The sequence below is a fragment of the Homo sapiens genome, chromosome 4 (genome assembly GCF_000001405.40).
Source record: "Homo sapiens chromosome 4, GRCh38.p14 Primary Assembly".
Classification (NCBI taxonomy): domain Eukaryota; kingdom Metazoa; phylum Chordata; class Mammalia; order Primates; family Hominidae; genus Homo; species Homo sapiens.
The window spans coordinates 94,577,799-94,605,204 of NC_000004.12; the positions used below are offsets into that span (position 1 = coordinate 94,577,799).

The 27,406-nt window shown below is 36.2% G+C and overlaps 1 protein-coding gene across 8 annotated transcripts in view; it reads left to right on the forward strand.

The window, feature by feature from the left end:
- PDLIM5 (PDZ and LIM domain 5) overlaps positions 1 to 27,406 on the forward strand; it is a 216,282-nt gene that overhangs the window by 125,857 nt on the left and 63,019 nt on the right. For 4 of the 8 annotated variants that reach the window (NM_006457.5, NM_001011513.4, NM_001256425.2 and 1 more), the window contains 2 exons: positions 7,767 to 7,939; positions 8,610 to 8,646. In NM_006457.5, coding sequence (NP_006448.5) covers positions 7,767 to 7,939; positions 8,610 to 8,646 — 210 coding nt within the window. Of the gene's footprint in view, positions 1 to 1,722; positions 1,740 to 4,918; positions 4,934 to 7,187; positions 7,206 to 7,766; positions 7,940 to 8,609; positions 8,647 to 9,190; positions 10,427 to 27,406 lie in introns of those variants that run through there. The other 4 variants (NM_001256426.2, NM_001256427.2, NM_001011516.3 and 1 more) reach the window with 3 other exon arrangements.

The window sequence follows — 27,406 nt, forward strand, 5'->3', positions numbered from 1 at the left end:
TGAAATCTCATAAAAAACTCTTCTTTTTTTTTTTTTTTTTTTTTTTTTTTGAGACGGAGTCTCGCTCTGTCGCCCAGGCTGGAGTGCAGTGGCGGGATCTCGGCTCACTGCAAGCTCCGCCTCCCGGGTTCACGCCATTCTCCTGCCTCAGCCTCCCAAGTAGCTGGGACTACAGGCGCCCGCCACTACGCCCGGCTAATTTTTTGTATTTTTAGTAGAGACGGGGTTTCACCGTTTTAGCCGGGATGGTCTCGATCTCCTGACCTCGTGATCCGCCCGCCTCGGCCTCCCAAAGTGCTGGGATTACAGGCGTGAGCCACCGCGCCCGGCCAACTCTTCTTAATAGAAAGTTGTAGAGGTAAAAGCAAACAGGTTATGGAAAAGTACTGCATTTAAAACATCTGAAAATACCAAGCTTAAGTTTTGTGTTTTATAAGCACAGCTTTGGTGATAAAACTTGAAATGATTTAAAGCTTATTATTTTTAAACTGAAACTAGGCAGTATTATAGAGCCTTTATGATGGCTTCTTAATCAATTGGCAGTGTTTATTAAGCACATGCCTGCTGTCCAGCACTGTGCAAAATTCAGGAGAAAAGAGATTACTACATATTTTGCATCATTTTCAGGCAAGTTACTGCTTTGCATTTGCAAACTGGGTGTATTTAAAAATAGCTTGATTTCAAGTGTCTAGATATTAGGACAATAAAAACTTGATTACTCTGAAAATAAAGTGTGTTGTCTGTGAAACTCTGAGACACATTGGTAGCGCCCTTTCATTCACGATATTTAGACTGAGAAATAAAAATAAATTACACACTTTACTAGTCAGTGATGTGTCATTTTGAAGAGTAGGTGTTTTGTGCTATTAATGGATGCATTTTTTGCATAAGTTGTCAAACTTTTTCTGGAATCAGTGTCAAACTTGTTACTATTATATTTCCCAGATTTTTATAATGTTGCAAAATACCTACAACAAAACTCTTTTAAAGTTGAGAGTTGTTACCTTATATTTATATTAGTTATTTTTTAATTTAAAAAATAATACATACCAATGACCAAAAATTTAAGAGTTCAGAAGGATGTAAAGTTAAATGCTTAGGTTGTCTTTTTCCTGAAAGCACCAGGAGGACTATTAGTTTTTAGTTTTTAAGCTAGTTTGATAGCTATTCCACGCAAATTTATATAGCATTGATAAACAGACATAAACAGATGCTTATTAATGAAGCATCATTACTAAGAAATAATTAGCTGTTCATCCTAATAGCATGAAATCTGTACATAACGTCGATATTTTTAGAATATTTTAAATTAATAGTCTGTAAGCATTCCTGTTCCTTCTTATGAGTAAGGATTAAGGCATGTTAAGAAAATTTAAATCTTTCTTCTGTATGTACAAATTATTGGTCATAGCTGGCTGTTTTCTTTACTACTCTCCTTACTCTACTAAGAGCCAAATGGGACTTTATATTTCAAACTGGAAGGATTGCTGTTTTGCATCAAGTAGTTTAAGTGATTTACCTTTTCCCTTTCCATATATCCTTGCATTATAATGTGCCACTGCTTTCAAGAGGTAAGTCTTTTAGTATCTTATAATAATTTTAATTTTGTTGGACTGAAATTTCTTCTAACAGCTCCTGTGTGATACTTTGAAGAACCTGGCCTTGGAAGATTAAAAAAAAATGATGTGGTAGTAATATTTTAAAATACTTTTCTCTTTGCAGAAAACACAAGTGACAAAGTTAGTATCCACATTACTGGAGAGGAAATATGGTGATTTATATATGAGTAAACAGCATGAATGCCTGATTTTTGCAAAATTAAGTTAAATTTTGCAAAAGAGCTGTAATTTAGAATAACCACATTTAGTATTTTCAGTAAGCTTGGTTTGCATTGCTATGTTGTGGTGAATTGTTTTATAGTAATAAATAGTAGTGTTTAACATAAGTCATAAAATGTATGTGGGTTTTACTATGTATTGGTTTAAAAGAAGCAGTGCTTGGGAAAATGTAATTTATATCAGTCAAGACTGGTAGAACACAAAGATAGAAGAGAAAGCATAAACATTTATACCACTAGTGAATAACATGTAAAACTGAGTTGATGTCCAAATCAGTGTCAAAAGCTGATGGTAAAGTCTCTTAAGAACCTTTATGATTTTTCTAGAGTTTTAATTCAATGTTGCTGGCAGGTTCAGACCTCTATATGTACAGTTGTGTGTCAGTGGATAATAGAAAGTCCACACATCTTTGAAATTTGTTAAGAGAGATAAATACCAACTGATTAAATGTCACCATTGGTGTAGATGTTGGGAATCACTGTGGTATAACTTTCAAACCTCACTTTTGTGTTCCATTGGTATTGACACTACACTGGCTCACGATTACTAGCTTTAAAAACAGGCAAAAATCACATTAGATAAGAACTTAAAATAATTTTATTAATTAGCTTATGGTTATTCTGAACGTGTACTAAAAGTTTTTTTGGCATCACACCATAAAGTCGTATTGGAAATTCGAAGTATCTGTCTTGGGACACATCCAAGAGAATTAACTACTGAATTATCAGAGCAACTTCATTCCGATGTAGTTGTGGTCTCCCTAATTGAACAGTTTTATGTTTTTTATATATAGGAATATTGCATACCAGTGTAAACATCCCCAAACCCTGTTTTATGTTTTGTCCATTTAAAGTTAAATTTTTCTGGACGGAGACTTAGGCTATTTACTAGATTCCAGTGTAAAAATGTTAGACTTGTAAAGGGGGAGAATGGCGTTTGGAAAAATAAACATTTAGGTTAGATAGAATTTTTTTTTAATTCAAGATTAAGATTCATTAATCTGTTAGGTATTACTATGCATTGTTCTAGGTGTTTCTAAATGCATTATGTGATTTGAGTCTTTAAACTCTCATGCCAAGAGATTACATACCTTTCTCAAGTCACACATCTTATAATTAATAGAGCTAAGATTTGAGCCTAGGTCTTTTGAAGCCAAATTTTGATGTGCCTTTCCCTATATCATCTGCTTGTGACTTGGGCTTATTTCTATGGCTTTGAATTAATATTTATTCTTAATGATTATAGAATTGAATTGAAGCTATGTGAATCAATTGATGTGCATATATTACAATTAGGTTAGATATTCCCTTTTTTATTTTGAGCGGTTGGGGAATCTATTCCAACAATAAACCTGTATTTGTGTAGTTTTCAAAGTGCCTTCAAATATGCTAAACATAAACCCTTAGAGGAAGTCTGAAAGACAGAGAAATTGTCATTGATTTCACTGTTGAGGAAAATGAGGCTTCTGTAGATTGCAGTTTGCCCAGGGCATGGGGGAAAGTGGGCAGCACAGCCAGTATGAGAAACCAGATCACCTGGCTATCATGTTAGCACATTTACCACTGCTGTGTATGATGGACTATTCCATTTGGGCACATTTTCTAAAATATGTAAAAATATTTATTTGACATACTCAAATTGTTACCTTTAGGTTGAAATCAGTCAACCCTCCACTTGCTGCCGCTCCACCACACCATTGAACATTTGCCCCCATTTAACTTCATATTAATATAAAACATTTTTCCTAAACTTTAAAATGTTTAAATATACATCTAAAACTCAACTCTGTTCAGGATGAGGTTATTTTGCAAAACTATTTCCCTGCTACTTAAAATAACAAGGCAGAGGAGAGAATGCTGTGCATTTGTGGCTGCAGAAGAGTAAATACAAGCAAACTATTGAGATCAACTTAATCCTGCATCTCACCCTCACTCAGTGTAACTCAACCCTCTGAGTTTATGAAACTGATTTTGACATGTGGAAATATAGCAACACTGACCAGTCTTAGCGTTAAAACTGGTAGGCAGTTTTTCTTACTATGTTTATAATGAATTGTTACTTACTCTGACTAAACATCATTGCAGAATTGAATAATGCTACAGTGTGTTCTTTGGCAAACTATACAGTTTATACTTTAGTCTTTTCTATCCCTACTGTAATATGAATGTGTTGTTAATGATTCTGCACTTAATAGGCTATGTGAATGAATTATGTTTTGAGGTTCTTCCACTTCAGGTGTCACTAACTTAGTTCCTTTACCATGTCTTATCAGACACGCCTTCTGGGCAATAATTATATCACTGATAATACAGAGCTATGGAATTCCCACAAATCACTTCTGAAGTTACTGGAACTTGCTTGTGAATGAGGGTGGTATTAATGAGGGACAGGAGAGAGTAAGAAAATTGAGTGATAGCTCATTATTTATGATCCACTGTGCTTCCTACATTTTTCATCATAGTCGCTACTAAGAAACAAGAAAAATTTCAAATGGCATATTATTCTTTTATAACATATGATTCAGGATAATTCATGTGAGAAATTGTACTTGCTATTAATATATACTTCTGTTATGTGAGACTGAAAGATTTTTCTCTTATTCTCTTCTGATTTTAAGTGATTCTAAAATGATCTATTTCTACATTTTACATCTGATTGCTTTCTGTCCTTTGTTAAGAACATAATAAGAATTTGGATTCATGTTTAAATGATTTTTATAAAACCTTGTCCTTTTAAAAAATAGTGGATCTTTCAGTCACTTGATACTTGAATTAGCATTAATACATAAAATAGTTTTCAGTGTTTTGTGGGATGGGGGAACAAAACTGTTGTCTTGATTATAACAGTGTAGTAGAATTTTTACTAACATTTGTTCATTTTTTGGTCTGTGTTTACATAATTATTTTGAAGCATGATGTTTGTGTAACATCTTCACTGAAAATCATTGTTTTGAATTTTATTTCATTGTCTTTTCTTTTTCTTCTTTTCTCCCCTCTTTGTCTGTTGTTCATCTTCCGGGGAACATCAATGTCTTCTCTACTCTATCGCATCTTTTTTTGTGTGTGTTATTCTTCCCTCAGTAACCCTGGCACTGTGTAAGTACTTAACCAATGATTCACTTTGTAATTGTCTCTGTAACTTTCCTTCTTGCTTTCAATTTAATACTACCAGCAAATTTTGTTAGGATTTTCTCATTATAAGAATTTTCAAAAATGTTAAGGAGCATAAGAAGCATTTTTTTTTATGCTAGATAATTTTGTATGCATCAGAGGTATGTTTAGAACACCCACACTTCTGTAATGAAAAACTTAGTAAGTTAACCTTCATTGAGATATAGATGAGTATTATGGACAGTGTATACCAGAGTTAGAACTGTAGTTTGGGCTTTCCTTTAGCTTATTATTATTATTATTTTAATGTCTGTATTTTGAAATAAATTACTTGCTCCTGAGAGTAAAGTTTACATTATATCCCAAATGCATTTTTTAAAATAAAATTATTGAAATTTTTCTTTTCTTTCATCATGGTCATCACACTCTGGAGTTTCAGAACCAGAAAACACTAAATGTTTAGAAACTTTATATCATTTGACATAAGACCTTAAGGTGTGGTAAACAACACAAAGAATCTAAGGGGTAGTGTACTTTTTACAAGTGTGTCATAACTAAAAATACTACTTAGGTAGTGTCATTCTATTATTCGTGATATCTTAGCTTGACACCATTGTTTTGTTTTTAGACACCAAACCTTTTATAGAGGATAAAATAGTCTTACACTTGAAATTGGCATCATTTAAGAGCAAACTACACTCAATACTTGTAGAGAAATTTAAAACTATAATAAGTTTAGTAGCTCAATATAAAATTTTTCAAGGACTTGCATAAGATAAAGAGTTGTCTGTTTTATGGCTGCCAAAGGCAGTGTGTTTATGAAGAAATGTATGCTTATTTCTTAATTTTAAAACATTTTGTTCATTTTTAAAAGAACTAGGTTTTGTTCAATATTAGTGGAAGGTCTTTTAGATGTTTTACTTGTGGAATCATGATATTACCATATTACCATAAGTTATAGTATTTTTTATGATTTTTTGCATAAATGTTACTGATTTGTTATTTTGTATATGCAGATTATTCATAGTCGTAGAACATGTATTACAGTTGATTTTCTAGTAATCATAAAAGAATACATTATGATGATCATTACCTCATGTTATGTACTGCAGAAAGCACTTTACATACATTATCTATCTTATTTGTTCTTAAATAACCCTTTAAGATGCAAGTCTTATTTCTCAGATGAGGAAATTGAGCTTAGAGAAATGACTTGCATAAAGCACACACTGAATCTGATTTTAAAGCCAGTGTTACTAACTGTAATTCTATCCTGTTCTTCACTGGGGAAAAGCTTTTCCAGTGTGCTGAGACAGTTTTGGTTATGTAACTGTTAAAATGATGACAGTCGTGTGGCCTGCGGATAGCACTATGATTTTCTCACAGTGAGTTGAACCTGGCAGGTGTTGCCACTCACATCTGACCACATTTATAACACTTTCTGTACTCGTATCTTGTGCCAGTAGTCTGCTAGTCCAGATTCATGTTCCTTTTTCTCTTTTGAAATTAAACTCATAGCCTCCAAAAATTTGCATTTGCCCTGTTTTGAGGGGGGAGAAGTGGAGACTATTCATGATGCTCAATATATCATAGTATTAAAATATACATTGCAAATTCCTTTGTATTTATGCCCTTTTGAAATAAAAATGAATGTTCTTAGCAAACTCAAAGTTCTTGAACTCTGTAGTTTACACATCCTTAGAACAGCACTACCTTGTATGTGATATTCAAGAGACTGACTTTCTAAAGAGTCTTAGAGCCAAGCTTTAAATTCTGATCTGTTAATATATATTTCAGTAGTTGCTAATAATGCCATACCTCTTCTTCACTATGCTGATCCCACACACAGCTTTCTTTAGGAGAAGGAATACCTGTACATATGAATGAGAAAACTGTAGAAATAATAGTTCGGACCCTTTTCAAAATTGTATTCGGAATTGCTAGTTTAGCCTCTACTAAACCATACTTGGTTCCTGGGCCTAGTGAAGATTTGATCATTTAATTTCGTGAAAGCCAATACATTCTAGCAGCATATTGATATTAATGGCCGTTGTGAATATTGTCCGCATCTGTGTTTCGTATGGCATACAGTGAACAATACAAATAATTTCAAGAAGTTTGATTTTGACTACTATGGACTTTCATTTTCTAGTTGTTTTCTTTTTTTCTTATCATTTTCCTTTCCTTTTTCTTCATGTTGGAAATCTTTCTTCTGCTGCCTTCCTCTGTCAATTAAAAGGAAAATCCCACCTAAACGGTAATCTTTCTGTTGAATACATTCTAATAGCATTATTTTATATTAACATTATAAGTGCAGTTTTTTACTTATAATTTAAAAGGTTTTTTTGTTTTGTTTTTTTGTGAAACAGAGTCTCGCTCTGTTGCCCAGGCTGGAGTGCAGTGGTGCGATCTTGGCTCACTGCAACCTCCACATCCCAGGTTCAAGCGATTCTCCTGCGTCAGCCTCCCCAGTAGCTGGGACTACAGGCACGTGCCACCATTCCCAGCTAATTTTTTGTATTTTTAGCAGAGACGGAGTTTCACTGTGTTAGCCAGGATGGTCTCAATCTCCTGACCTCATGATCCGCCCACCTCAGCCTCCCAAAGTGCTGGGATTACAGGCGTGAGCCACCGTGCCCCGCCTATTTTAGATAGATCTTTTAAAAACTTGAGACCGAATATACTTGCAAAGCAAACTGTTTATATAAAAGGAATATTGAAGATTAATCATATAAATTATAAATAATTTAGTAGAAGATATTTTATCCTTTTAATATAACTTTACAATTTTTAATTTTTTTTTTCTCCTTAACCCTAGCCCACCAAGAAAACACATTGTGGAGCGCTATACAGAGTTTTATCATGTACCCACTCACAGTGATGCCAGCAAGAAGAGACTGATTGAGGATACTGAAGACTGGCGTCCAAGGACTGGAACAACTCAGTCTCGCTCTTTCCGAATCCTTGCCCAGATCACTGGGACTGAACATTGTAAGTGAACTTCTAGGTATCCTAATGGATGAATGTTTTTTTGCCCCAGAGAGTGGCATTGAGACTGATTGGTAGTTGTCAGAAAACAACCCCGAGACAGTTTGCTTTTAAATTATGCTGTGCATAACATGGGTAATATAAATAAGACCCCAGGCCGGGCACAGTGGCTCACGCCTGTAATCCCAGCGCTTTGGGAGGCCGAGGCAGGCAGATCATGAGGTCATGAGTTCGAGACCAGACTAGCCAACATGGTGAAACCCCGCCTTTACTAAAAATACAAAAATTATCTGGGCATCGTGGAAGCCACCTGTAATCCCAGCTACTTGGGAGCCTGAGGCAGGAGAATCATTTGAACCGGGGAGGCAGAGATTGCAGTGAGCTGAGATCACGCCACTGTACTCCAGCCTGGGTGATGGAGGGGCTCTGTCTCAAAAATAAATAAATAAATAAATAAATAAAACACCAGCCCAGGAGAGTAACATTGAAAAGTATAGATGTAATAGTAGTTGTACTAACTATAGTTTATGGCCAATAACAGGCTACTATGGAATTCGTTTTAGTGGCTCCATGGAAGTTGAACATTTGATATTGATTGGTGCAGGTAATTGCTTAAGTGATTTTGAAGTTAAACAAAACAAACTAATATTGGATATTGCTTATTATATTTCAGTGAAAGAATCTGAAGCCGATAATACAAAGAAGGCAAAGTAAGTTCTCTATCTTTTTGACAATTGAATGTTTTCCTTTCACGAATGGTCTCAATTTAGTTTTTCAAATTGTCAAGTATAATGGTATGGCATTTCGTCTTTGCAGCTAGAAGCTAAGCATTTAACTTTGGTGCCTTTTGTGTGACCTAAATGTACAACTTGCAGATTTTAAAAGTAGTAGATATTGTCTGGATTTTAAGGCTTGTTTTCCCTAGTATTGAAATAAGAAGTGGGCAGAAGGGTATATTTCGGGGTGCTTTGCTAACAATACATATGTCTGTGAATGAGCTCGTGTGTTGTCTTGCAGTCACTTTATTTTGAACATAAAAATGTATGTTTCCAAGAGGGATCTGTGGATTAATTGCTATATTTCTAAAAATGCTCTACCCTTAAAATTTTTGCCACTTAATAAAACAGCTATGTGAAATTAAGCTTTTATAAGGCATGTTTTCTGCATGATGGAATTAGTCTAGAACCTTTTTCCTTCTATTTCTTATGACTCTTCTATCACTCTTTTTTTTTTTTTTTTTTTGTATTTCCACAGGGAAAAGATACCCCTTCACGTCTTTAGTCCCAAATACACAAAATTACGTGACTGGCACCATGAAGTTTCAGCACGTGCTCTTAACGTACAGTGATTTATGAGCCTTGCCCCCCAAGCAGCCAGCACATACCTTTTCATTTACTTTTTTTTTTTCAACTTCATAGCAAAATCTGTATTAAATTTGCCTTATGAAAAAATAGAACTTTTTCTATACTTTTCTAACAATTTCCTATTGTTGTGAGAAAAGGAAGATGAACATGTTTTGTGCTAGTTGGTAGCTCACAAATGTAAAACCAAAAAAAAAAAAAAATAGAAAATTAAGGGACTAGATCTATTTGTGGATTTGTATCTGTTTTTGTTGTGATTAGGGTAGTAATCTTGGAAAACGAATTATTTTCATAAGTTGAATTTGGTTAGTTGGTTGGTTGAAGCAGAGGATAATGAGCAAATAAAGTCCTTGTCTAATTTGGAAAATACTTTCTTTATATTATTAACATCTCCCAAGATTACTTTTTAAGTTCATTATTATGTTACATTCAAAGTTGATTGTAAATTATTCTAAATAAGTAAATATAAGGAGGCAAGAATAAACAAAGACTTTATTAAAGAAGAGTGCGTGCATTGTAGATTTAGGTATCTTTTAAAGTAGGTACTATTCAGGATGGCTCTATGAAGAGGAGGAGGTCCAGATTTGGCTCCTGAAAAAGGAAAGAAGAGAATTTTACCCCTATTTGCAATGGAGAAATACAGTATTCTTTGGTTTGGTTGGATTTGCAAATCCTATTTCCTATCAAAGGAAATATCTCTAGTGGATATTTTTAGAATATAGACAATTTCTAGGTATTAACTAATAAGATATGGAAAAGATAGCTTTGCTTTTTTTAATCAGAAGAACATAAAATAAATTACAATATGAATGATTGTGAGACATCAGAGAAATATTTTACTTAGTGACGTAAACTACTGTGCACTGCTGCTATTCCTAGGAAGCTGTGTTTTGGGCAATACATGGAAGCTAAATATATGACCAGAAATGCTTTCTGCCTTGTAATATAGTGTATTATATATTAGAGCTAAATTTAGTAATAAATGCATTTTGAAGTTTGGAAAAGTATTGTAATAAAGTTGCCTTTAACTTAGCTTTGTACTTGTTCTGTTTCCTTGAGGCTAGACACAGTGCCATCCAGGACTTATTACAGTATAACTGGGTAAAATAAACAATTCTCTGACATTTCATTTGGAAATCATTTTTAACTTTGTGAGGTTACTAAAATATGGGTATAAAACACGGCAGGCCAGGTGCGGTGGCTCACGCCTGTAATCCCAGCATTTTGGGAGGCCGAGGCGGGCAGATCACCTGAGGTTGGGAGTTCAAGACCAGACTAACCAACATGGAGAAACCCCATCTCTACTAAACATACAAAATTAGCCGGGCATGGTGGCGCATGCCTGTAATCCCAGGTACTCGGGAGGCTGAGGCAGGAGAATCGCTTGAACCCGGGAGGCGAAGGTTGCGGTGAGCCGAGATTGCACCATTGCATTCCAGCCTGGGCAACAAGAGCGAAACTCCATCTCTAAATAAATAAATAAATAAATAAATAAATAAATAAATAAATAAGACACAGTAAAGGATCATGTTTGATTTTCCCCCTGAATTATTACAATATGTAGTATCCTATGTGAGTAACATAAAATCAGTTGACTATTGTGCAACATAGAATTATTGTTTGTGTGAAATTACCGCTGAAGGACCTTGCCTACATTCAAGGGTCTATTTTTATTTTTCCAGGTATTCTTTCACATTAGTGACATTATAGTCTAGTACAACTGCTTGATAATTTGGAGAAACTAACATTAATTTTAGATAGTGATTGATAAAATTTGGCCTGCCAAATGCATTTTAAAAATAATTCTAGGATTTATCTATGCTCATTTCTAGTATACCTCATGATATATAAGACATCTTTCTTTTGTCATATCAGTTCTTCAGATACTAAGACAGAGGTCCTGCCTGCTTGTGTTTTTATGATGCTGACATCAATCCCAGTTATAACTGTGTCTCTGGCCTCTGTAAGAAAATCTACTTTCTTAGACCAGGCTTTCCTATACCCAGTAATTCTTCCAGGATCCTAAAAGATGATGTCTGAGAGACGATGGAATTAAAGCCTCATAAAAATAAATGGTGTGGTAGAGTAAACATGGTATTTTCCACCAAGAATCCAATTTCTAGAATAACTACAGAGTTGACAGAAAGAAGACTCAAAAGAATTTTAGGTAAATGGGAAAAATTTTCCCTAATACAGACAAGAGAACATGTATAGAGTTACAACTTAAAACAGATGTAGTTAAAATAAAAATTTATTACCTTGCTTAATTAAAAATGAAGTATTTAGTGTTTCATTAAAAGCATAGACTTAGATAAATGGAATGATCCATACTTGAGTGTGAGGATAAATATTCAGCCAGGATCATAAAGGACATTCCATTTGACCCTGTCAGAAGATGAATTCCTGAGTTCAGTGAATCTCCTGGGACATTTTATATTCCTAGCTTAAATGCTAGCCAAAAATTATAAAAGCTTCTTGCAAAAATATTATTGTAAATCTAGTGACCTAATTTATGACTTGTTTTTGTTTGTCTCTCTTATACAGACTTTCTTCATTATAGGCTTGTTTTTAAAGTGAAATTGGGAAGTTGCTCTTAAGAATGTTTTCAACCTTTCTTTCTCTCTTTCTCTTTCTTTCTTTCTTTTCTTTTCTTTTCTTTTCTTTCCTTTTCCTTCTTTCTTTCCTTTTTTTAAATTTGAGACAGAGTTGTGCTCTGTCACCCAGGCTGGAGTGCGATGGTGCGGTATTGGCTTACTGCAACCTCCACCTCCCAGGTTTGAGTGATTCTCCTGCCTCAGCCTCCTGAGTAGCTGGGATTACAGGTGTGCACCACCTGCCCAGCTAATTTTTATAGTTTTTTTAGTAGAGACAGGGTTTCACCATGTTGGCCAGGCTGGTCTCGAACTCCTGACCTCCAGTTATCCGCCTGTGCCTCGGCCTCCCAAAGTGCTGGGATTACAGATGTGAGCCACCATGCCTGGCCTCAACATTTTTTTCTTACAGTGTTTTATTCAGAAGACTGTCTCACACATGGTCCAATGTATTTTTGTTACCTCAAAAATTACAGTATTTGTGGAAAACAAAAGCATTCTTTCGTGCATCATTGTGCCCTTTAGGAAGGCTCAGATAGATAGACATCTTAGAGTTTATTTAATACAAATTGTGGTATTAGGACACAGAGTAGCAGTTCCTTCTTTTTTTCAAAATTATTCAAAAATATAGAATGAATTGATTTTCCCTCCAGATATGTAATTTTGTAATTATTGTGTTTCTGATGTGTATTTAAAATCATATAAATTGTAAATATTTACTCATTGCCAGCATTCATTCTTTCAAATGCATAATTGCTGTATATGTAAATGCCAGGCACTAATCAATGTACTAGGGATACAGTAATGAATAACAGATAAATGTATAAGCAAGATGATCTGAGGTAATTGTGTTACCAAGATAATAAGTTAATATAAAATAAGTTTGGCTTAGTCAGGGAAGGATTACTTTAGATTATGTGGACCTCTGAGGAGACGACCTTAATGCCAGCAGCTGGGAGTGGAAAAGGAGTCAGCCGTGTGATGACTTGAGGGTGGGGAGACAAGTGTGGAAAGGAGCATGGCAAGAATACAGAACAGAAAGGTCAGTGTGGCTGGAGTCCAGGCTAGGCAGGGAAGTGTGCTAGAAAAACAGAACTCCTGTACATAGACAAAACACTTATATTCCCATTCCTATCCATAGCATTTTAAATGGGAAATTATTATATCATATCTAACTGCTTGCAAATAAAATTAGAAAATGAAGAAGCAGGGAGGTTAGTCAGGCTGCTAATTGCAGTGTGCTCATCTAGTTGGTACCAGCCCTGATTATTAACAATTTAATATTTTTCCTGTTGAGACCCAATGAAGACCTAGAAAAGAGAGGCATAAATATATGTTGGTAACATGAATGTAGGGAACACAAACAGAATATCCTGCAGAGCATACATAAAGCCATACAGAAAATACGAAAACACTTTGGTGTATTACATTTGACATATGATGCTCTTCACAATAGTGATGAATTTGAGGATTTAGTCTTCTCTGTAAAATCTTAGCTAGAATTGTCTGGACACTTTGCTTTTGTTCATCCCATTCCAGAAAATTCCTTAAACCAAGTAAATAATTTCCTTGCACATTCTTTCCAAAATAGGGATCATAGCATTTTTTTCTTGGTTAGAAGTAGTAAGAAGCAGCAAGTGATAAATTCTGGGGTTTAGACTGAGATTTGTAACTCACTGATTACTTTCTGTCCCCAAGTTTCCACTTCTTTAAAATATGGAGTTGGAATCTGTGGTGGACACTGTGCTGCCCACTCAGATACCACTTCAGTGGAGGACTTGATACCTCTGCTGATGGGAGTGTCGTAGGCAGACAGCCTTCACGTGCCAGCCCCTTCACAAATCACCTCAGCTGCAGACAGTCCCTCTTCAAGACCCTAGGCTTGGTGGTGCTGCCCACATGCAGTGAACTAATTGATAAGTGGGAAGAGAGGGAAGTAAAAAACCTGGTTATTTCATCCCAATTAAGACCAACTTGGAGGGACCATTCTAGCTCCTGAGCTGCTGTGGTATCAGCTGAGGCTGTCCTAAGTTTTGTTTGCAACTCCACCTCTCCTACCCACTCCTGCTTCCTTTTCTGTCCTTTCCCCTTCACGGTTGTTGACCCTAGAGACATTTCTTAATAAGCATCCTGCATGCTAAGCGCTAAGCTCTGCTTTCTGGAGAACCTGATCTGCAAAAGAATCATATTTTTGTAGACCCCAGTTTAGACCTCAGTTGCACAGGTTCTCTTTTATTCATCTTCTCATCACTTTCTTTGCCTTGGTCACTTCTCATCTTTTCTCCTTAGATCTTCAACCCAGATCACAAACACAGCATTTAGAAGTCTTCAAAGTAAAAGATCAGTTAAGGGAGGACTGAAAGTCATGTGGAAGTCAAAAGGAACATGCATTTACTTTATTTTTTTGCCTTAAATTAAGGATGTTTATTTGTTGACTTCATCACAGGCAGCCTAAGAGTAATGAGCAAGCAAATGTATTTAGAAATCAAATATAATCAGAGATATGTGAATGAAGCAATGAAATGAGAAGCTTCAAAATGGGAAATTAGGATTTACTGAGTAAATGTAATGAACACTTAAAACAGGAAAGCAGTACTTAAAATATTATGATTTTGCATGTTATAGTCTTCCATATATAGCATTTGGAATCTTAAGTATTAGCCATTTAATTTCACTTAATAAATTTTGTTAGAACACATCTGTTTTCTTCACATCCTTAAAAGTTTACTTCTAGTTCTCTCCTGGGGAGATTCTGTTGCTGAGTAGCCTTTGGAAATGTGTAGGCTAATGTACAGACATTAAAAGGAAGGAGGATGCTAAATATCTTGTAATGCACTGAAGAATCCCACAGACTGAAGAATCATCCAGCCCAATATGCCAATTGTGTGCTACTGAGAATGACTGCATTGAGTGTAAATATTCCCTTTTCCAAGTTTTGTTTTGTTTTGTTTTGTTTTTTGAGACAGAGTCTCGCTTTGTCACCCAGGCTAGAGTGCAGTGGCGCCATCATGGCTCACTGCACCTCGACCTCCCAGGCTCAAGTGATCCTCCCGCCTCAGCCTCCCAAGTAGCTGGAACTACAGGCACACACCACCACACCTGGCTAATTTTTTGTAAAGGCAGGATTTTGCCATGTTGCCCAGGCTGGTCTCGAACTCTTGGCAATCTGCCTGCCTCAGCCTCCCGAAGTCCTAGGATCGTCGGTGTGAGCCATTGCGTCTGGCCTAGATTTTCTTATTCCTTCCCACAATCATACATTCTCACCTACAGAGCGCCCTCTCCACTGCCCCACCCCACAGTAGGAATAATTTTGTCACCTCTGAACTTACATGCTACACAATTTTTACCTCTCATTTGACACTTGATTTTCTAATTTGTCTTATGGATATTGGTCTACATGTCTTAAGTTTCCTACCGAAGTTTGAGCTCTTTAAAAACAAAAGTCTTAGTGTAATAGTATAAATTGGAAGGAAAAGGCATTCTAGTAGTCATCGTATTTCTTCCTGGATGCAACTGTAGCTGCAACTGTAAGTAAAGGCCTAGCAATTCAATGAAATGACTAATCTTGAAGGTGGTTGTTAAGATTATAAAATTCATCTCTGGTGAACTGTTTCTTCAGTTAGAAATATACTGTTTTCAGTCAGTTTAGGCTGCCACAAGATACACAGACTGGTTAGGTGGGACAGTAGAAACTTATTATCTCATAGTTCTGGAGACTGTAAGTTCTAGGTCAAGGTGCCAGCAGAGTTGGTGTCTGTTGAGGCCTTTCCTAACGGTTGTGTATGGCCACTGTCTCACTGTGTCTCCTCACATGGCTTTTTCTCTGTGGGGGCACAGAGAAAGAGTGAAAGCTCTGGGGTCTGTTCTTCTCATGAAAGCTCTGGGGTCTCTTCTTCTCATGAGGACATCAGTTCTATTGGGTCAGGGTCCCACCCTTATGACTTCATTTAACCTTAATTACCTCTTTAAAGGACCTATCTCCAAATAGTCACATTGTGGGTTAGGGCTTCAACATATGAATAATGGAGGGATACAGTTCGGTCCATAACATACACTAACTGTCTTTGTATACTAATCCTCATTTTGACAGATTGTCATTTAAGAAAAAATTATTCTTAAGTAGAATCATTGACTTGGACCCAATTGGAAGCATTGTTGTCACCTCTCTTTTGGTGCTTCCTTTTTACCTTTGGATGACAGGTATCTGTCTCCATATTCTCTTTTCTCAACTACAGTAAAAGTTCTTTGAATGTGAGAATTTTAGTATGCCCCACCATGTTTGGTACTAAAAGTTACTAATTATATATAATTGCATATTTTTCCAATTCTCTAATTTTAGGGAAGTTGTTTACAGCGTGGCACACACTATCTCTAATGGAATATAAGTTCGATATAAATATCAAGACATTAAAATATCAAAACATTAATACCTATATTGAAAGTAAAGTGAAACCATACCTAAGTCACTTGAAAGGGGAATTGTACTTTGTTGGAGTAATCTAATTGCCAAAAGTTGACACTTTTTTCTTGATATTTTCTGTTTGTTAATTAGTGAAAGACTTTTTTTCATTAAATGAACATTTGTTTTTTAATGTCTTCCTTTGTGTTTTTGGTGTGTTTCAACATGAAGAGCATGGTGATTCCCATGAGGAGAGAATAACAATTTTAGAAATAGGTATATGAGATGCTTAGTTAGTGCTCTGAACAGAAATACTAATAGAGAAAATTTTATCATTAATAAGGAAATGTTTAAATATAAGAATCTAATCTACAACATTGATTTAAAAGAGGCAACAGCCATCTTATCAGTAACTATTAATAATAGAAAGTTATTAATAATATATGGCCTACCAGAATAGAGAATTATGGGAGACCATAGAAAATTTTATTTAGAGATAATTATGTTATACATGCACACACACACACACATTTATGCCAAAAAATCATATTGTCAAAGTATATTTAAGTTAAAAAATGTTTTTCTTGATCTCACCATGTTCTCAATTTTCTACTATATTATAATAATATCAATCTTTGTAGTTTCAAATTTTTAATGCTATATATAAGTATAAAGTGGTATTTTAGTTTAGCAAAAGGATATCTAAAATAATGATCAAAACATTTTTATCAGTCTTTTCTTTATCTCCCTTGCTTAAAGAATGATGGGTTCTGATTTTTCACATATTTATTATGGTTGTATTAGTCTGTTCTCATACTGCTAAAAAGAACTACCTGAGACAGTAATTTATGAGGAAGCGGTTTGATTGACTCATAGTTCCACAGGCTTAACAGGAATCATGGGTGGGAGTCCTCAGGAAACTTACAATCATGGTGGAAGGTGAAGGGGAAGCTGGTACATCTTCACAATGGTGGAGCAGGAGAGAGAGAGAAGGGGGAGGTGCCACACACTTTTAAACAACCAGATCTCATGAGAACAATCTCACTGTCACAAGAACAGCATGGGAAAACCACCCCAATGATCCAGGTACCTCCTGCCAGGTCCCTCCCTCAACACGTGGGGATTACAATTTGACATGTGGTTTGGGTGGGGACACAGAGCCAAACCATATCAATGGTTAAGAATTATAAGGTATGATATGGCTTCCCAATTGTCAAAGAATTAAAATGCTCATTAGGAGAGGAGTGACTGCTTCTCCCTTTAGTAGAAAAACAATTCAAACTCAGGTTACCAATTACAATACACAAACTAAAACAGTTATGTTGAGCCGGGAAACCGTCTTCTTGTAGGCTATCTTCTAGCACCAAATAATGCCCACATGATTTCTGGCTGAAGGCCATCAGAATGGAATTTTAGCACTGGAAGAATAGAGTTAATGTTACTTCTTAAGGAGAAACCTATTACCTTTGTACATTCATTGAAAATTTAGGAAGCATAAATTACATATTTCTGAACATACTGTTTTGTAAGTTTTTTTAAAACTTTGTTGATATTCATTGACCCACACAAAATAGATTAATGAAGAAATAGTTTGCTGACCCATCCCATGTCTTCATTATTGCTGTGTTTCACAAACATACTGGTGTCTTGTGACATATCCTTATTAAGACACGTTAGTTGAGTATATTACCTAAAGCTGCTATTCTTAATAAGCTATGCAAAGAAAGCAGGAATTATTCCCTAGCCTGATATTTGCACATATTTTCATGAGATAAGAATTAGCAATTGGACTTGCCCCAAAAAATAGAACAGCAAGATACATTCCCACAAAATATGTTTGCCAACCTGTAAAAAAACCACCTGTCAAAAAATGGTGTATATGATCAAGTAATTTTTGTCTCTTGCAAAATATGGAATATTTGTAATTGATCTTTGATTTTCTGCTGGTTGAGTATACTGTTTTATGCAAATACTGTTTTGCTGACTACAATGTAAAGGTCGCCATCTGTTGAACATAAGTAATTACTACACTTCAGTTCCTTGTGAGACTAGTACTTAAAAATTATTGAGCCAAGAAACATAGTTCCTATGTATTTTCACATCCAAATTGTTTAATTCTGTTTAATGCTGGAAATGCCTGTTGTTGTTGTTGTTTACCAAATTAAACGTGTACTATTAGCACTTATAAAGATCTGTTATTTATAAAAGTCAGTGTTCGTAATATGCCAAGTTGGCTTTCATAATCCCAGAATATTCACCACGTTCCTTAGAGGCAGAATTTTGTCAGACCGGTAGTCCTTCTCTTATAATGCTGTTTGGATAAGTTGTTTTCCATTTCACCTTTAGAGAAGTAAATTACACAATAAAATTATTTTATTGAATTAAACCAGATAATTAAAGAAACTTATGTTTACTAAAACTCAGTATTGAAGAAGACTCCTGCACTTTAGTTTTTTTTTTTCTTCAAAAGAAATCACAACTTCAAAAGTTAATTAAGAGCATTGATGATAGGCAGACTTCAAAATCATGGAAGGCTTAATTTCTATCTTTTGCTGCTATTCTAGTTTATGTATTTCAGACACATTGCAGGTTTCAGAAGTCCAAGTTTTCCTACTTTTATATTATGTGAAGGTTTGTTTATTAGAATGATATGATTTTATAAAAGAAAATTGAACCAATATATTATATTATATAGTATAAAGCATATGACAGGTATGGATATTTAGACATCTTCACTTTCCTTTTAGTCAAATTAAAGAACTATCTACAAATTGCTTTTATCTAAAAATTAGTCTCATGTGTCCATGTATTCTCTTTTGTGTTTTTCTATTTTTGTATCTATTAAAGGGTATTGTTTGAATGCTACTCCTGTGTCCAACTCTGTAATAGGTGTTCATCTCACAGATGCACCTAATTAACTACTCCCAAAGATTCTGAATTTATATCTTTGAACAGAAGAATGTGTTAAAACTAAGGTGACACCTGTTGCGGAATTTTCAAGTTAGTGGTACACACTTATTTTGCCTCTTCACACACTTTATTCTTTATCCTGATATGCTAGTAATTTATAAGAAGAAAAAAATTGAGAATAAATTTCTGAAAGATTTTAATGTCTTCAGGTAGCTGTGTATCATTGGTTAGACAGTGAGTGAACTTGAAGCTTTAATACAGAGAAGTAACACTTAAGCAAATTTGGTGGAATCAAGTTTACCCTTGGCTTACAGCAGTGGAATCACATACTTGTTAAAATCAGCAAAGCTCTTAGCAGGGATGTTGGAGCAGCATCACAGGTATGTTTACAAAAAGTACACCCACCAACAGTAAAACCAAAAATCCTTTATATATGAAAGGTAAAACAATCAGATAACATCTATTCAAGGGATAAGTAAAAAACAGAAGTGATGTCGTCAAGGGTGATGGTGAAACTAATAAATGCTCTGTGTTGAAAGACAGCAAATAAAAATAACCAAAACCCAGAGGTTTATTTATATCCTGGAGGGATTTGAAGCCCCCCATACAGAAAGTGATTCTAAATGGTTCTCACTAGACTCTTTTTCTTAATGACTTACCGCTCAGGGTATGTAGAGGACTTACAGATGAGATTCACTGAGTACTATCTGCGTTTGTTTCAAATCCTGGATGGGAAAGAAAATAGAAGAGTGGTAAAAGGAAAATATAGTACTGATTTTCAAAAAAGGAAAAAAAAGTTAACTTCTAACCATAAACTAATTTGAACTTGAGATCATCTGGAAAAAAGTCAAGCAGGCATTCTGAAAAGCATGGCTAGTGAGCACTGAGAAGAGGAGGGCAGAATTGCCAAGACCCAGAATAAGTTCTCAAGAAACACATCACATCCAACTTAACACATTTTGGATAGATTGGGAGAGATGTTAATTTTAACAATTGATCAAAGAAAGACCCTTAAAATTCCTTTGAATTTAATAATGAAATGAGGTTGATAAGTATGTTTTTAAATGCATAAAAGGTTGAAGTAGTTTAACCAAAGAATATTGTTTAAAGGATTAATTAGTGACTTGGATGAGGAGATCCACAACTTGCTGCCCATATTTGTGAGTACCATGAAGCAGGGAGATATAGCATACATGTTCAATAACCAATAAGGTTGGCAAACCTAAATATCAAAGGAGAAGTGGGAATTTTAAAAGAAAATAAACCCAGTAAGAGTTAGTCATGTCGTATGGCTCCTAAAATGATAAGCAGTAGTTCTGTTCTGCACTAGTAAATCTCACCTGGTGGCATATTATGCTAGTCCTTGACGTTAATCTCTGACAATTACATAGATAATCCCAAGAAAATCAACTGAAGACTCACTGAGACAATTAAGCTGTCTTTGGGTGAGAAGCAGTTATATGAGTAGTTGATATTAGACGATAATCTGGGCTGGTTCTTTGACCTAAATCCAAGTGGGTCTTTTCCTCTAAACATTCTCCTTTAGTCTCAGGCCTCACTTATTAGCAGTGGCCCCTGCTCATGTTTAGCATATATTATATATAATAAATACGTCCAACAAATGTTTATGAGGCACTTATTTGTGCTGGTTTCTAGGAAAATGAAGATGCTATTATGAACTTAGTCTAGTAGAGCAGACATGCAATGAAAAAGGAAAATAAGGAAAAATACAGTTTTAGGTTATGATATATTCTATAAAGTAATATAGTACAACATGAATATAATGAGGGGAGGGGAAGAGTAAGGTCATTAGACTCTAGTTAGAGAAAAAGAAAATAATTTGAGCTGAAATGTGAGTGCCCTGAAAGAGTCAGTCATGAGGATGTGGAGATGTCCTCTCCAGGCAGAAGGAACAGCAAATGCAGAGTCCCTGAGACAGGAATCAGTTGGTGTGTTTAGGGAACTGAAAAAGAGCCATTATGAATGGGGCATAGTAAATAAGAGACAGAATGATAAGAGATTACGTGAAGTACTCAGGGGCCAGATTATTGACTGCCTTGTAGGTTGTGTTAAGGAGTTCAGATTATTTTTCTAATTAAATGAGAGGCCCAATATAGGACTGTAGTCATAGGAGTAACATCTGATGTATATTTTTAACAGATCACCCTGAATACTATGGAAAATTAATTGTAAGGGAGAAATAATGGGAGCAGGAGACTGTTATGAGTATCCCCATAGTTCAGATAAGCAATGTAGTGGCAGTGGAGATGGAGAGCATTGGATAGGTTTGTATTTTAGACAAAGAGCTGATAGGTGTATAGAAATATTGAGGTGGAGGGTAATGGAGAGTGGAAAATTGGTAAGTCAGTGAATTTGTAAAGAATTAGTTCAGTTGATAAGAGCTAATGAGATTGGTCAGAGTCAATTTGGTACAGTAAAAAAAGCTAATAGAATCGAGGGATAGCAGACTGAGTGAGGAAAAAAAAGGGTCCTTAAAATTTAGATTTCAGACATGTTGTACTTGTTGATGAAAAATTAAAGGTTATGAATTTTGGAGTGCATGCTGATATATTCTAGGTGTAAGGCTTAGCCTTAGGGGAATGTATCATTAAAGTGAAGAAATCAAACAATTCAATAGTAAGGTTATTTATTCAGTGATTGTGCATGATTATTGAAATAATCATGAGAGATTGTTGGAATGGGGTGAAGAGGAAGGCAGTCAGGAGCTAAAACAGTGGGTGAGGTAGAGACAAACAGTGGGAAGGCCCTATAGTGAATGGTATAGTGAGCCTCCAAGGACTTGGGATTTTGGAGGATCAAAGATGACTGATAGTAGTTAAAACAGTAATGAGGAGGACACTTGCTCCATCTCCAGGTTTATAAGAATAAGGCATATGAAAGAAAAAGCAACATCTGTTTGAAGAGACTGTAAAGAAGGTATAGTAAAACAGTAATGGGTTTGTGAGGGCTGTGATAGATGGTGAAGTGATTAGATTAGGAGATACACAAAGCAGTGAAGAAATAAGAGTCCAGGAGATGCTGGATGACCCAAGGGATTTGAACTTCTGATTGTGGCAGGTAAACAAGGGTAAGTGGGAAGCATGATGTGATTAATCCTCAGAGTCCATTACAGGAAAATGGATACTAGAATGTAAGCTTCATGAGGGCAGGAAATTAAAGTAGACAATAGGATGTGTGAAGGTGCTTGGCACAAAGTGGGAATTCAAGTAATTGTTTTTTGTTATTGAATGAATGAGTGAATGCAATGAGTGATTGAATGGGTGCGTTTGGGACATATGATCCAGAATATTTGGCTAGTGAGTGTGTAGCCACTTGGCTATTGTTCTGTAATGCCAACAGGACACTCTCACTGGAGCATGAGGTACTGTGCTGGCTTTCTCAAGACATGTGGCCTCTTTAAGGATTCACTGTGGGTGGCTGTTCAGTGGGACACATTCAGACGTATTCTTTTATATTTTCAAACAGGTAACTTGACTTAACACTATTTATTAAATAATACATGCCTTTCTCCTCTTTATCCCGAATCTGAAAAATACCTTTATTGTTTATAAATTCTTTTTCTAATATTAGGATTATGTTAAAACTACAAAATGGCAGATTTTTGTCACATATAAGAAGCTATTTCTAACTAGTATAAATCTCTGAAGTCATGGATCAGAATGATCCAGTGAAGAAACTGATGATGGAAAGTGAGAGGGCCAAAGGTTAGTGGTAAGTGCCCTGCAGTTACTGAGGGAGTCATGCTTTTATCAGGGGATTGCTCCAAGTGACTTTTAAGTTGTCATTACACGTTAAAATCTTCATATTATATTTGCATTTTGTATAGATAAAAAATGCTCATTCTTTACCTGGCTTTAGACCCTATAGAACATTTTCTATATAGAGATCAAAGAATACTCTAGATAACTAAAGAATTTACAAAATATTAAGTATTGAACACTTAATAATGATAAAATCCATTATGGAGTGGCAACAGCAGAGAAATGTGTAAGAGTTATAAAGCCATAGTTTGAAAGATGTGAGAAAATGGAAAATATCATCAAAGAGGAAATTCTTTCCCTAATACAAATGTCTTAGTCAGATCAAGCTGCTAGAACAAAAATATCATGGACTGGGTGGCTTAAACAACAAACAGTTATTTCTCATAGTTCTGGAGGCTGGGAAGTCAAGATCGAGGTACCTGTACACTCAGTGTCTGGTGAGGGACTGCTTCTTAGTTCATAGATGATGCCTTCTCACTGTATCCTCATATGGTAGGAGAGAGGGAGCTCTCTGAGGTATCTCTTATAAGGGACCCCTTTCATGAGCGCTCTCTGCCTGTGTGACCTAATCATCTCCCAGAGGCCTCACCTCCTAATACTATCACATAGGGCGTTAGGATTTTGACATATGATTTGGGGCTGGGGGGACACAAACGTTCACTGTATAACAACAAATAATAAGTTCCAATTCCTTCAGCAATATCCCTTTTTGTTTGCCTATCTTTTCCTTGCTTAAGTAAGTGGGAAGCTCCTAGAAAAATGATTTCTTTGAGTTAGTCCTTCTTTGCTCTTACAAAAAATCAACCTCATTTTGGGTAGTATTTTCATGTTTGATAATTTATTTCATAACCTTTTAGCCTCTAAGATCCAGTCCTCCTTGTCTGCCATGTGCAAAGCAAGGATAACTCTACTTGCTTATTTTTAAATTCTCAAGATGCCATCTATGTAATAAAGGTAGAATTAGCAGGCTCAAGTAACATTTTCAGGCTGCTACAGAAACAAAGACTATTGAAAACCAATTAATAAATGGATAGCTTATGATTGAGAGTACCAGAAATTCCCACCTGAGGTTTAGTTGATTTAGTTTTCCAGAAGGGAGATCATAGTTACAAATGAGCAAACTCAACATATTTATTGTCAGGAAGCCAGCAGAAAATACTTATTTTTTTCACATGCCTAGCAGTTTCCTTGGCTAAAATAAATAGCTTTGCTATGCCAGTGAACCCCAAAAGGGCAGAATCTAGCTATGACTCTGATATATTCTAGTTTCTGCTTAGCAATATTATTACATAAAAGTTTGCTTTGTGGAAGTAGAATACCAAGGACAATTTATTGTCATTTTCCTCCTTTACCTTTTAATAAAACGTATATTTCAAGGTTTGTGAATTTTTCCTCTTATTGAAAACTCGTCGTGTGGGTATGTAATAAGTCACTAGTCTATTTGATCATTTTATCATATTTATATTCAGAAATAGGAAGCATTTAAAATTTTAATTGAAGATGCCATTTTTATGTTGTAAAAGAAAATGTTTGCATTATTTTTAAGATTTTTTTAAGGTTCGCCTTTGTGACAGATTTCTTCTTAGAACATAGTTTGCATATAATTCCATCAAAATCTGGATGACCCAAATTAACATTTTGAAATTTTATTACTGATAGAGAACTTTACCATCCTGCAGCCTGGTTTCTTTTTGAGACGGAGTTTCGCTCTCTCATCCAGGCTGGAATGCAATGGCAGGATCTTGGCTCACTGCAACCTCCGCCTCCCAGGTTCAAGTGATTCTCCTGCCTCAGCCTCCCGAGTAGCTGGGATTACAGGCACCCACCACCACACCCAGCTAATTTTTATATTTTTTTTAGTAGAGACGGAGTTTTGCCATGTGGGCCAGGCTGGTCTTGAACTCCTGACCTCAGGTGATCCACCTGCCTTGGCCTCCCAAAGTGCTGGGATTGCAGGTGTGAGCCACCACACCAGGCCCCTGCAGCCTGGTTTTTGTTCTCCTCATTCCACTGAAGTTATTCTAACCATGGGTGCCAGTACAGTAGCTCCACCATATACCAAAGTACTAACTTTAGTAAATTACCAAGGATAATTTTAGTACCAGGGTTGAAAGATTATTGGAAGGATTAAATATGATGATACATATTAAGCGATGAAAAAATATTTGCTTTTATTATTAACAAATGATTTACATGTAAGTTAAAAAATGAAGTAAAAGTAATAATATTATCATTAATGACCAAGAGCCTGAATCCTGGAAGAACTTAGTTTGTTCAAGACATTGTACAGGTAGTCTAATGTGACTGGAGTTCAGTGAATAAAGGGAAAATTGGTGTGGAAAGATAATTGAGAGGTTGATCATAACAGGTCATTTGGGGATTTTGTAGAGAATGTTAAGCACTTTGGGTATTATCCTAACTGCAGTAGGAATTTGTTGCAAGGTTTTAATCAAAAGAATGATTTGATAAAATGTGTTTTGTTGTTTTTTCTTAAGGCACATGGGCTATACTAAACCATGCCAGAAAACACAGGGGCTGGAAGGGGCAGGATTTGGCAAGAGAGGAAGCAAGAGAGCAGTTAGACAGTTCTTAAATCACTAGTATAAGTTAGTGCTTATCATAGTCTGGATGAGAGAGGGTGGTAGCAGAGAAATGGGGTAGATGGATGGCGTAATGAGAAAAACTTGGGACTGTAATGCCCCCCCAACCCTCCGCAAACTGGGAAAACTGGGACGTTGCCAAGAGAATGACTCAGACAAGTCCAGCTTGATGAGTAGATGAGTTTATTAGGACATACATACAGGGCACTGCTGGACAGCAGCAGTATGGCTCCAAGAGATCCACACCGCCTCCCATCTCTAGGCTGCTTTTAAGCTAATTTTCTGGCTCTTTGCCGTGTATGTGTGTGCGCACGCGCGCGTGTGTGAGTGTGCTGGGACTTTTTTCCTTGGTATATTCCCAGCCATGCCTCAGGATGTTTGCGTTCTCAGGGACCCCTGCTTCTCGGCTAGGCACCATGGCCTTAGCTAACTGCCTGGCCCTCAAGTTTCAAGCATTGAATATAACACCCTTAAGTAACCTGGTAGGGGACCCATCACACCACTGATAGATTAAAAATATAAATTTGGAAGTAGAGTCATTTGGACATGGTGAAAGATGATTTGAGACAGAGAGATATTAGAGGTATTAATAACTAAAGGGCAATTCAAAATATGGGCTACTGCTCATAGGAGACAGCTGGGCTAGATATAAATCTGGACATTAGGTGGTGTTAAAGCTACAGGACAGAGTAATGTCACTGTACTAATGATAGCAGAGTACAGAGAAATAAAGCCTAGGACAGAGAACTCTCGGGCAACAGAATAGCCAGTGAAATACTACTAAAAACAGGCAGGTAAATAGGGTTGAGGCACAAATGACAGGAAAAGAGAAGCAGTAGTCAATTGAGCCAGACACTAAGTAAAATGAGGAATGTGCACAAAAAGACAAATATTGTATGATTCCACTGATAGGAGGTATCTAATGTAGTCATCTTCGGGTCAGGCTTAGGAGGTATCTAATGTAGTCATCTTCGGGCTGGGTGTGGTGGCTCACGCCTGTAATCCCAGCACTTTGGGAGGCCAAGGCAGGCGGATCACTGGAGGTCGGGAGTTCGAGACCAGCCTGACCAACATGGAGAAACCCCGTCTCTACTAAAAACACAAAAATTAGCCAGGCGTGGTGGCACGTACCTGTAGTCCCAGCTATTCAGGAGGCTGAGGCAGGAGAATCGTTTGAACCAGGGAGGTGGAGGTTGCAGTGAGCCGGGATTGTGCCACTGTACTCCAGCCTGGGTGACAGAGTGAGGCTCCGTCTCCAAAAAAAGAATTAAAGTAGTCATCTTCATAGAAACAGTAGAATGGTGCTGGTTACCACAGGCTAGGGGGAGGGGGAAGGGGTAGTTGTTCAATGGGTATAGAGTTTCGAATATGCAAGATGAAAAACTTCTGGAGATCTCTTCCACAATAATGTGAACGTACTTCACACTACTGACTGTGCACTTGAAAATCGTTAAGATAGTAAGTTTCATGTTATGTATTTTTTACCACAGTTTTTAAAATGAGGAATGCAAATTGTCCATTGAATTTAGCCACAAGAAGGTCATCAGTGACCTTAGCAAGATGCAGTTTCATAGAGTGTTGGGGGTTGGGGTCTAGTTGAGATGGCTGAAGACTGACAGTCAAGTGAGTATAATGTTATTTCAGAGTCTGGCTGGTAAGTGGAACAGGAAAATAGAAAGTAAAGATAGTCTGTTGTTTTTAAGAGAAACTACTGCATTTTAAAAGAGGACACAAAGCATCCAGTAGAGAAGGAGAGATGGATTAATCGAGGCCACTGAGATTAAGGGAGGAGATGGAGTACACAGCATTAGAATGTTGCTCTTGGGC